Genomic DNA, 12,502 nt, shown 5'->3' on the forward strand with positions numbered 1-12,502 from the left:
TTAAGTCTTCCACACTCTTACTCATTTTCTGTCTACTTTTTCTATTAGTTAATAACAAAGATATATTGAAAGCTCCAACTATAACTGTAATTTGTTTCTCCTTGCAATTTTATTAGTTTTTGCTTCAAATGTGTATGTTATAAAGTACACATTTAGGATTATAATAGTCCTCTTGATACACTGATTCCTTCATTGTTATGAAATAATTTTCTTTATTCTGGTGATGTTTCCTCTCTGAAGTCACTTTGCCTGATAAGTCCCTCCTGCTTTCTTTTGCTGGTGTTAGTGATATGGTTGCATTTATATCTATCCTTTTGCTATAGTTTTCCATTTGTCCTATTGATTCTTTTTTTCCCCTTTTTCCATTTTTCTGCCTTCTTTTGGGTTGAGTATTTTTATGATTCTATTTGTTGGCTTATTAGCTATAATTCTGAACAGTGGTCTGGGAACTCTCAATACTCACAGGGCTCCCCTCAATTGCTAACATCTCTCAGGGATTTGTTTCTTTTGTTGCCTGATGCCCAGTGTCTCCAAAGTCCCTGTTCTATATACTGTGTCTGTTTTGGTTGTTGTTTCAGGCAGAAGGGTAAATCCAGTCTCTGTTACTCTATCTTGGTTGGAAGTGAATAGTGATTTTTGAACATCTGTGTGAAGAAAACCCCACAGTTTTAGATATTTTACGTAGAAACTTAAGGAACACTGGAGAAAACCAAAGATTTTTAATGTAATGTTTTTCCTTACTTGAAGTGGTGATTGCACATTTTTTTTCCATCTCTGATAACCACAGTATTTTAAATTTCACTGTGATTTTTTAAATACAACACTACGTATTTGAGGGGAAATTTTATTCACCTAATCCCACTAATTAAGTGATTTGTATCACTGTATTTTATTTGCACAACTAGTCTCTTATTGTAGATTGTAAATGCCAGTCATTGATAGTCTTTTAAAACTTATCCTTCATTGTGAAAATCAACATATTAGGTACTTGCTACTTTTCCAGAAAACGTTGTGGCACCATCAGGAAGGACAAACACCACAAGGCAGTCCTGCACTTCTAAATTTGTGCCCATCACTCTTTACTTCACTCCACATCAGTCCGCTCATCATTCCTGCACACTCCATTCTGTTCCTCCGTTAACTGCTTGGCCTACACTCACTTCCCTCCCCTATACAAACCTGCCTGGCAATTTTCGATTCACCCTTCAAAATGTAGCTTAGAAAAATATTTACCACATTTTCAAGTTAATTATATACATTTTATTTCACTAAATATTAAGTTCTTGAGCCTGGGATAGTTCACTTCTGCCTCTTTGATGCCTAGCGTAGTGCCTGTACATTTAACAGGGTCTCAAAAAATGTTTATTTAATTGAACTGAACTCAGAAATAATTTGGGATGCACAGTGTTAGGGACTGAATGTATGTGTCTCCCCCAAATTTCCTATGTTGAAGCCCTAACCTCTAGTATCGCTGTATTTGGAATAAGGAAATAATTAAGGTTAATGAGGTCATAAGGGTGAGGCTCTGACCCAAAAGGATTAGTGTCTCCATACAAAGAGACACCACAGATCTCTCTCTCTGTGCACGTACTAAGAAGAGGCCTTGTGAACACGCAGTGAGAAGGCAGCCATCTGCAGCCCAAGGGGAGGGCCCTCACCAGACCCCACTAGACCCCACCCTACTGGCACTTTGATCTTGGACTTCCAGTTTCTACAACAGTGAGAAAATAAACTTCTGTTGTTTAAGCCACTCAGTCTATGGTATTTTGTTATGAGCCTGAGCTGACTAATATACATAGGGATGTGTTTAAGATGAGGCAGTTCCTCTCTTCCCACTAAAAAGCAAGTTAGGGCTCTTGGGTCTCCAGTAGTAAAAACTCTTCTGTTGGGAAAAACAAAAAAACAAAAAACAAAATTTTTTTTTTTTTGGCGGGGGAAGGGAAGTGGCCTTTTCTCCAGAGGGCTATGCTTGAAAGAGTATTGTCACTTCATCCTTAGCCAAGGCCACAACTCACTCCCAACTAAGATTAGACATTCCATAAGTTCTCTTACAAGCAAACTAATTATAAAAGAAAGCTCAATTCCCTAAGGACTGGGTTACTGAGGTAGTAGAGAAGTGCAAACCCTTATTCCATCACAGAGTCAGAGTTCAGAGATACTGCAGCAATACAGTATTCCCCCCTTATCCACGGGGGATACATTCTAAGACCCCCAGTGGATTCCCAAAACCATGGATAGTAGCAAACCCAATATATACTATGGTTTTTTGATCTGATAACTGAGATGGCTGCTAAGTAATGGCTGTTAAGTGACTAATGGGCAGGTCGCATATACAACAGGGATACACTACACAAAGGGATGATTCGCATTCCAGGTGGGACACGGCAAAATTTAATTACACTATGCAGCACAGTGCACAATTAAAAACTTACGAATTTTCTATTTCTGAAACTTTCCATTTAATATTTTTAGACTACATTTGATTGTGGGTAACTGAAACCCCAGAAAACAAAACGAGGATAATGGGGGACCACCGCATATATCTCAGAGGTAAGAAGAACTATTACAGGGCTTCTAAAATAACCATCATTTATGACATTATAAAATAAAGCTACAGAAGGAATGAGGAGTGCTAGAAGGAGGCTTTAGTTTTTGGAAGGGGTGGTCAGGGAAGGCTTCACTGAGGAGGTGTCATTTAAGCAAAGACCTGAAGATGCTGTGTGTGTGTGAGTTGTGCACAATCTTGAGAAAGAGTATTTCAATAAAAAGGAACAATAAATACAAGAAGGACATGTTCAAGTTGAATTACAAGTAATCTCATGAATTTCTATAAAAGACCTAAATCACATCATTTTTGTTTGCCAAGAACCATCCCCCATCCCCAAGAAAAGTTTCATCTTTCTTAAAAGAGAAAATTAAATGATTACTATTCAGCTATCATTTATAGCAACAACAGAACCTATCTGCTACAGAGCAGGAATTGGATTTGAAAAACACAATGCTGCTAAAAATTACATCTTTAAGACTTACTTGAATGTAAAATGAGAATTACTGTATTCAATAATTCTATTATATGACTGTGGAAACTTGTCTACTTATGAAAAGTAAGAACAGTCTAGACAGGTAGAAGTTGTAATGTGAGCTTCATAATATTAAAGCTGGAATGAAAAACAGTTTTTCGAATTTATTTCATCAATTACTGAAATATTGCTAGAAATAAAAGGCAGAAAGCTCACAACAACATCAGAAAGCTTAAAGTATTTATCTTTAAATTGAAAATATGCTAACTGCTAATGTATAAAAAGTAGTTGTTATTGTAGTAATAGTAGAAAAAAATAATAGCCACATGTGAGTGCTTAGCATGTGACATGTACTGTGCAAAGTATTTTGCGTGTACACATGGCCTCGTTTAATCCTGGCCTCAACCCAGAGGGGCAGGTTTCCCTGTTATTCCCAACTTGCTTGCTGAAGATTACCAGCTGGTCAGTGGCAGAACTAGAACTCAAGCCTAGGCAGCCTGACTCATAGCCTAAGCACCATATGCACAATGCTATGAAAACACCAACATTTGTCTATCAACCTCAGCAACTGTTTCTGCTTGTCCTGACCAAAATCTGACACCTTCCTGTTTAGTTTTTAAAGGATTATTACGATGTGTCACTTTCAAAACTCAGGATTTTAATTTTTCCTGTCTTTGTGATCTATTAATGAATTCCAAGTCATTATTTAATAATAATGGGATAACCACATCTTGATTTGTCCAGTCCCAGTTTACACATTTTGTCTCACTAAATAGTATCCCTTTCACTCTCTTAAAGTGACCAGGTTTGGATCATAAATTATATAATCACTCACTTAATAATCACTTTATTTTTTGCTCTGCCCACTGTCTTTTTTTATTAAACAATGAAACTTACTGAACTGCTAGCATTCTCTCTTTTAGAGGGAGTATATGTTCAAACACACTTCTAATCAGTGTTGGCTCTCAACATTTAAAGCACAACTTTTTTTCTTGTCTTTAAATGGTCCACAACTCTTTTCCAATTCTTATGTCTGATCTCATCTCCTCCCACATCCTGTCCCATTCCCTGTTGTCTTCTCCTAAATGAATCCTTTGTCTCTCTCGCCCACTATTGCCTATATCTTCTTTTATGCCACCCCCTACGCTTGGAACAAACCTATTAATCCACCAAAGGTCTGTCCTCCAAAAACTTCTTTAAAAGTCACTTTAGTCAGTAAGCCTACCTAAGATCATCCATCCACCCACCTGTCCTATTTATGGACTGAATCCATCAGGCCAACCTCTTTGAGGCTCAGATTTGAAACATTTTTTATTATTTTTACACTACTATGAGGTTCACCATCTTCACTCACACCGAAGAGAATGTGAATTCTAACAAACTTTACAATGTAAAAGTAGGGCTTTCAGGTATATCTGTATCTAGTAACCAAAAATGCACGCATAATCCAGAGGGATCTTGCTAAAAAATTATAAATCCAACCATCACTTTCAGAGGACATAGGGACAAACGCTCAGTTGTGAATATCCGATTGTCAAAAGGGAGATCATATATTCACTGCCGGTACACAATCTTCTTTTTTTTTTTTTTTTTTTTTGAGATGGAGTCTCTGTCACCCAGGCTGGAGTGCAGTGGTGCGATCTCGGCTCACTGCAAGCTCCGCTTCCTGGGTTCACGCCATTCTCCTGCCTCAGCCGTCCGAGTAGCTGGGACTATAGGCGCCTGCCACCACACCCAGCTAATTTTTTGTATGTTTAGTAGAGGCGGGGTTTCACTGTGTTAGCCAGGATAGTCTCAATCTCCTGACCTCATGATCGCCCGCCTCGGCCTCCCAAAGTGCTGGCATTACAGGTGTGAGCCACTGCGCCCGGCCGCTGCTGGTACACAGTCTAAGAAAAGTTACTCTTGCAATCTCATGGGGAAAATGGGTGAAGTGAAGATCTGGTCTTGTCCTGCTCCTAACACCTACAACTTGCCCAATTCTGAGTATCAACTCTGTGCTCATTTGTTCACATTGACAGTAAGGACAGTAATAAATAAACAAAATAGCACACATGGAAAGCTGTCACTTTTGGGCCAAACACTATACATTTAGTGAGCTAGTATAATGAGCTAAGGCATTAGAAATCCCATTAACATATTTTTCAGCAGAATTGTACATTAAACAAGACAATTAATTCTAGGTAACACTGATTTTTGAACATCACAGTTTAAGACAAATACAAGGAATTAAAATTCAAAGCTGAAATAGGACATCAGAAAGATATTTTTAATGGGATGATAATATATCTAAAAATAACAGAATGAGAATGAAACTCTCCCCAAATATTTGAGTAACAAATATTAATAGGCCAGAAAATAACTATTGTATTTATATAAATATAGACCACCAGAAGAAATGTCATTTGGTTATGTAAGAGGGAAAAATTCACTTTTCTAAATGTACAAAATCAGAGACTATCACCTACAGAACCATGTTAGGAAAAATAACATGATAATACATATGGCTTCTTTATGCTAAAAAACACAATAGGTATTGAGAAAGTGAGTTCTGTGGTTTTGATTATGGAGAGAGATATCAAACTTCCACACGTTATAAATCAATAAGGCCACCTCATCCTCTGAAAAAAACAACTTATTGATTCTTTTTCATTCTTGAAGTTAAAAAGCACTACTCAAATAAGGATATACATTCCCCAATACGTAAAAAGCAGTGATTTAAGTTGTGTGCCAACAAACTGAAATCCAAGAATACAAATATCCCAGAGCTGAGTTAACTATAAAGCAATCATTTTAAGCGTTCATTTGGCTGTTTGGGGGGTAGCATTATCACTATGGCAGAACAAAACCACCACCAGTTTGACTGTGGAGAAGGCATTTCAAATTAACACAAACTGACTTGGTTTCATTTAAAGAAAAGATTCATATGAGGTGGGAAGTAGAAGTACTTCATCCAGGGGGTCCTGGTTCTGTCCATTTTGTTTTATGAGGCCCATCACAGCTAGACAATGTAGCACAGAAGGAGCATATTCTTAATATACCTTGTCAGGGGCAGTCTGTGACACACAGACAATGGAAAAGGAAAATGGGCCTCTAAGATCTGGCTGTTCATAAATGAAAAGTTCCTCTTAAGAATATGGGTACACATGGAATACTATGCAGCCATGAAAAATGATGAGTTCATGTCCTTTGTAGGGACATGGATGAAGCTGGAAACCATCATTCTCAGCAAACTATCGCAAGGACAAAAAACCAAACATCGCGTGTCCTCACTCATAGGTGGGAATTGAACAATGAGAACACATGGACACAGGAAGGGGAACATCACACACTGGGGCCTGTTGTGGCGTGGGGGGAAGGGGGAGGGATAGCATTTGGAGATATACCTAATGTTAAATGACGAGTTACTGGGTGCAGCACACCAATGTGGCACATGTATACGTATGTAACTAACCTGCACATTGTGCACATGTACCCTAAAACTTAAAGTATAATAATAAAAAAAAGAATATGGGTACAAAGACAACTGCACTTGCATGTTTATCACAGCACTATTTATAATAGCAAAGGCATGGAATCAACCTAGACGCTCATCAATGGTGGAGTGGATGAAGAAAATGTGGTACACATACACCATGAAATACTAAGCAGCCATAAACAAGAACAAAATCATGTATTTTGCAGTGATTCCTAGGTGAATTAACACAGAAAAAAAACTAGATATCACATATTCTCATTTATAAGTGGGAGCCAAACACTGGGTACACATGGACATAAAGATGGGAATAACAGAAACTGAGGACTCCAAAAGTGGGGACAGAGGAAGGGGACAAGGGCTGAAAAACTTCCTATCAGGTACTACTATGTTCACTATATGGGTGACGGGATCAACAGAAGTCCAAACCTCAGCATCATGCAATATATCCTTGTAACAAACCTGAATGTATTCCCTGAATCGAAAATTTTTTTAAAAGGGGTTGAGGTGGGGAAAAGAATATGAGTTCAACTGCTTCTTCTTTTCCAGGGCAAAAGAACTTTGCTTTCATAGTTCTGGCCAAACTTCTAAATGGCATATGGAGCACTGGGAAGCATTAGATAATATGCTGTTATCATATTTTATCTCCAGAGTAGTTAAAAAAACAAGTAATCTACATTTACTATCTGCCAAACAATGACCCAAGCCCAGAAATGACCAAATAACAAGCATGTGGGCAAAAAAGTAACAGAAAAATAAATCCAAATAACCCAAAAGTCACAGGCATAAGTGAGTTACATTTACACTTTGTAACCAGTGCCTCTTAGTTTATACCATGATTCCAGCTCAAATGGATCATCTTTCTGTAGAACCACAAATTATTACTGTATATAGAGTCAATGCACAGGTTATTAATATCAGTAATAAAGCCACAGGGAAAAGGAGAGACTAGAAAACTAGATGGTGAGGGTGAAATAAAATTTCTCTAAACAACCATGATAACAGGAAATACCACAAACTCTTGCAATAGTCACATCAACTGTTACATAAAATTTGGCAGTCTGCATACCTCTTGCATTTGCTGCTTAGTGCCAGGCACCAAAATTAAATGACAGTGATTCTTCAAAAGGAATATTAAAAAACTAATGAAAACAAAAGCTCTTTTCCTTCCGTTAAACTAGACAATCACAACACTGTTTCAATAGCTGCCTGCTACAGTACTATAGTGTTATGCAAGACAAGAAAACAGCAAGATAATCACAGAACAGATAACTGTCCATTGTGTTTTACTGACCAGTATTTAAACCATAATGATGCTCTCTGACTTGACCATTTAGGGATAGTAAGAAAAATTCAGAGGCTATTGTACAATCAGCTAAACTGTGAAAAGTATTTCCCAAACACACTTTTCTAACTGAACACACAGAAATAAATTTTCCTGCAGCTTTTTATTCACTGATACTACATTGGTTTTTCTTTTACTTTTAACATTTTACAGAAAAGACTGAAATATCATTGTATATGGTTACATTGCTATCTTTAAAAGTGATTTTGGAGGTTTAGGACTGAAGGATATCACATGAAACTTAATGAAACCACCCTAACCAGACATACATTGCTCTCTCTGCCCAGACTCTCAATGCCACAACCATTGCATGCTAGGATGCAGAGACAATACATTGAATTCTTAAGACTTCTACTGTTATAATTAATAGGGTCTTGAACTTCCTATTGGCATATAGTATGTGCTACCTGAAAATAAATGCACATATGAAAATAATGGTATCAACATGAGATACAAGAACGAACTTAAAAGTGAACATTTTTAAGTCTCTGTATAAATGTTACCTGTATAAAAGTGTACATACAGTGCCTTGAACAACACAGGGTTGAACTGTGCAGATCCACTTATACATGCATTTTCTTCCACGTCTGCCACCCCTGAGACAGCAGACCACCTCCCCCTACTCGTCCTCCCTCCTCGGCCTATTCAGTGTGAAGACAGGGAAGACCTTTATGATGATCCATTTCTACGTAATAAATAGTGATTTTCTTAATAGCATTTTCTTTTCCCAGCTTACTTTATAGTAGAAATACAGTATATAAAACATAAAACATACAAAATATATGTTAATCAACTGTATATTTTTTAGGTAAGGCTTCTGGTCAACAGTAGGCTATTAGTAGTTAAGTTTTGGGGAAGTTCAAAGTCATATGCAAAGTTATTTGTCAAAGTTCTATTGTGATTGTGCTGGGGGGAGTGCAGGGGGGTTTGGGGGTTGGCATCTTGCCCCACATCGTTCAAGGGTCGACTATATTTTGATAGTAACTATACTTCAGAATCCCCAGAAAAGCTTCTGCTTGTTTACTTAAAGTTAGCAGAATAATAAATACAATTGTTAGTAACTAAACAGAAGAATGACAAGGAAGCTATGAGACTATTAATCACCATTGTAAATTATACTCAGTTGGTAATTACTCTTAATTTTTCCTCTTCCAGTACTAAGTAAAACCTAAAACTTAACCTTTTGGGTTACCTTGAAAATCTGCCTATAAATGCTTACTTTGTGAAATCTAGTTGAAAATACCCTATATCCACTATTACTTTGAGAAGAAAAAAAAATCAAACCTGTATAAAAAATCAAAACCGAACTTAGATATTTTGGATACAACACCATGAAATTTTTATAAGGATTAGTAGCTTTGGAAAACAAGGACATTATTATATATTTAGAGAACAGAGACCAGACTAAATGGAAAATAAAGAATTTAAATGACCAAGAAAAATGGTTTTGAGTTTCTTCTGTTTCTACAGTTTACACATCAATTTTAAATTTTAGCCAGTTTTATAAATTATCTCCTAGTGAAATTGTGAGTAGGTAAAGAACAGAAGTTCAATAATTTAGACACAAATATAATTTAGAATGTATAGACATCAAATAATATTAAATTTGTAATGGCTCTACGATGAGTCAAAATGATTTCAAGGGCAAAGCTAATGAAATCATACTATTATTAAAAGGATTATTAAGAGGCAAAGAATAAGGTCAAAAGTGTGGCTTTGGGGGCCAGAATGTTTGGATTGCAATACTGCTTTAATAGCTTTCTAAACAAGTCATTCATTCACTCATTTTGGAGACGGGGTCTCACTATGTCACCCAGGCTGGAGTGTAATAGTGCAATCATAGCTCACTGCAGCCTCAAACACCTGGGCTCAAGCGATCCTCCTGCCTCAGCCTCCTGGGACTATACATATGTGCCACCATGCCTGGCTAATTTTTTTTTTTTTTTTTTTTTTTTTTTGAGACAGAGTCTTGCCTAAGCTGGTCTTGAACTCCTGGCCTCAAGCGATCCTTCCACCCAGAGTGCTGGGATTACAGGCATGGGCCACTGCACCTAGCCTCTAGCAAGTCATTTAATCACTCTGTACATCAGTTTCCTTATCCATAAAATGGGAATAATAATATCTCATAGAGTTGTTTTGAGGATTTAAATAAAAATATTTAATAACTATAAATATCATTGTCCAGACACAATGTCATTTAGCTTTTCTCCTATGTTTTCTTCCAGTAGTTTAACAGTTTCAGGTCTTATGCTGAAGATGTTAATCCAATTTGATTTGATTTTGTAGGTGGTGTGAGGTAAGGGTTCGATTTCCCTCTTTTGCATATGGATATCCAATTTTCCAAACACCATTTATTGAAGACACTGTCCTTTCCTACTGTATATTCTTGATACATTTGTTGAAGATCAATTGACCACAGTTGCATGGGTTCTCTTCTGGGCTCTCTACCCTGTTCCACTGGTCAATGTGTCTTTTTTTATACTGTACAATGTGTTCTAATTACTATCATTTTATAGAATACAGTAGTTTGAAATCTAGTAGTGTAATGCTCCAGCTTTGTTCTTTTTTGCTTACAATTGCCTTGGCTACTTGGGTTTCTCTGTGGTTTTATATAAATTTTAGGATTATTTTTCTATATGTATGAGAAATGGCATTGGAATTTTTATGGAGATTGCATTGAAAAACGACTAAACTCATAGAAGTAGACAGTAGAATGGTGGTTACCAGCGGCCAAGGGGGTAGCGGGGAAAAGGAGATTACAGTCAAAGGGTACAAAGCCCCAGTTAGGCAGGAAGAATAAGTTTGATCCTTTTTTAGATCAATTGCACAGCATGGTGAATATAATTGTTATATACATTTCAATATCACTAACAGTAAATCTCTAATGTTCTCGTCACAAAAAATGTTAAATATCGAGGTGATGGATATGCTAACTAGCTTAACTTAATCTTTCCACATTGTATTAAAAAATCTTAACACCACTTTGCACCCCATAAATATGTAACTGTAATTTGTCAATATATAATAAAAATAAAATTAAAAAAAATTAAAATAAAGAGTTAATCACTGGAACAGTGGCTATTACAGAGTAAGAGTTCAATAAATGTTAGCTATTATCACCACTACTGGGCAAAAAAAAAAATATTTTGTATGCATGCTTTCTCTAATATGTAGTCTTTAAAAAATTCTATACATCTAAAGATCATTTAAAAACATTAAATTTTAATGAACTGCCTCTTATAGACAGCTAGTTTGTAAAACTGTTGTGCAAAACAAGTGCCCTCCTGGAACACGTGTGATGCCAGTTTAAGATCAATACAAGAATAGTCATGGAAAAATGCCAAAGTCACTCTTCGATTCCCATTTTAGCTCAAATCTGTGAACACGGTTTTAAAACATAAGAGAATAGAATTGAAATTTTAAAATCTCAGAACAAAATGTTTAAAAATAGAAGAAGCTATCTACTGAGAATAATTCACTAAGCACATGTGTGGTGAGATACATTTATCTCACTTTATAATGCTGTGACATTCAATAAGATGAAACTTTGATCAGAGAAGGGACTCCAGAGAGACTTGGATTCTACTTTCGGCTTGTTGTGTGATCACTGCCAAACCATTTAACTTCTCTGTATTCTCCTCTCCTTCTTCATCTTTTATAACATAGAAATAAATCATTCTGTTGTCAATATAACTTAGATCATATTGTAATAAATGTTATTTCCATTCTGTAGCCAAACTGAAAAGGATTTACCTTCCTCATCACCAATGTGATGATTTAGTTACTTAGTGCCAGTAGGTGAAACACTAACTTCTGATTTACATCACTGTCTATTTAAATTCTGGAAGCCAAATAAATCTAAGGGCTGGCATCATGACGTGCCAGGGCATGGAGTGGGTGGAATCACTTTTCTCCATATACGGAAACCCTGTATGTTTAAGTCTGTTAGACACTTAGTAACAAAGAATATTTCTATAATAAGCAGTTGTGCAAGTCTGCATGTCTGAATATGTACATGAAATTCCCTGCAAATGGCAGCCCAGAGGAAGAGCATCCAACTTGAGGAATTTTGTATCCAATCCAAATCCTCCATACACATAGTTTAAACTGCACGAGAAATTTTAATTTGTTATTTAGCATGTCCATATTCAGGAATTCTGGTCACACCTACACACCCACACCTACACACTCGACATCAACTGAGACTAGAGTGCCTCCTTCACCAACGCAATCTACACCTAGGAGCATCTGGTGGGAAAAAAGGATCTACTACCATTTTTTGGATCAAATATGAATTTCATATCGTTCTTTCCTAAGGTCCTATTCTTACATTGTTTCCATATGCCAAAATTCTCATGACATCCTTCTTACAGATTAAAAATCCAGTTAGTTAATAAGTATTTTTGTTATATTTTTAGTCACTGACTTAATTTCTTCCATTTTTGAATGATACTACAATTTGGTGACATTTTAGTGTAGATCACTGTGGCAGGCTAGTAATCTAAAATTTATTCTGGGTGGGGTTTTAATGTTACTGTTAGTCTTCAATAAATCTTAACAATACTCTCATAAGTAACACAAAAAAATATTTTAAAAATATTTCCAGTTATAGTACAAATTTATTTGATTTTCTGCTAAGTCATTTTGAATTAAAAAGTTAAA

At 36.3% G+C, this 12,502-nt stretch overlaps 1 protein-coding gene across 40 annotated transcripts in view, besides 2 other annotated features; it reads right to left on the bottom strand.

Annotated features, from left to right (window-relative positions):
- Window positions 1-12,502, bottom strand: part of DYM (dymeclin) — a 424,259-nt gene that overhangs the window by 145,938 nt on the left and 265,819 nt on the right. The window lies entirely within an intron of this gene.
- Window positions 4,333-4,834: an enhancer, noted in NCBI's record as "H3K4me1 hESC enhancer chr18:46713027-46713528 (GRCh37/hg19 assembly coordinates)". NCBI's record gives its function as "activates a minimal SCP1, AML or CMV promoter by ChIP-STARR-seq in primed H9 embryonic stem cells {active_cell/tissue: H9 hESC(primed)}" and the evidence as "EXISTENCE:reporter gene assay evidence [ECO:0000049][PMID:30033119]".
- Window positions 4,835-5,334: an enhancer, noted in NCBI's record as "H3K4me1 hESC enhancer chr18:46713529-46714028 (GRCh37/hg19 assembly coordinates)". NCBI's record gives its function as "activates a minimal SCP1, AML or CMV promoter by ChIP-STARR-seq in primed H9 embryonic stem cells {active_cell/tissue: H9 hESC(primed)}" and the evidence as "EXISTENCE:reporter gene assay evidence [ECO:0000049][PMID:30033119]".

This window comes from Homo sapiens, chromosome 18 (genome assembly GCF_000001405.40).
Source record: "Homo sapiens chromosome 18, GRCh38.p14 Primary Assembly".
Taxonomy (NCBI): Eukaryota; Metazoa; Chordata; class Mammalia; order Primates; family Hominidae; genus Homo; species Homo sapiens.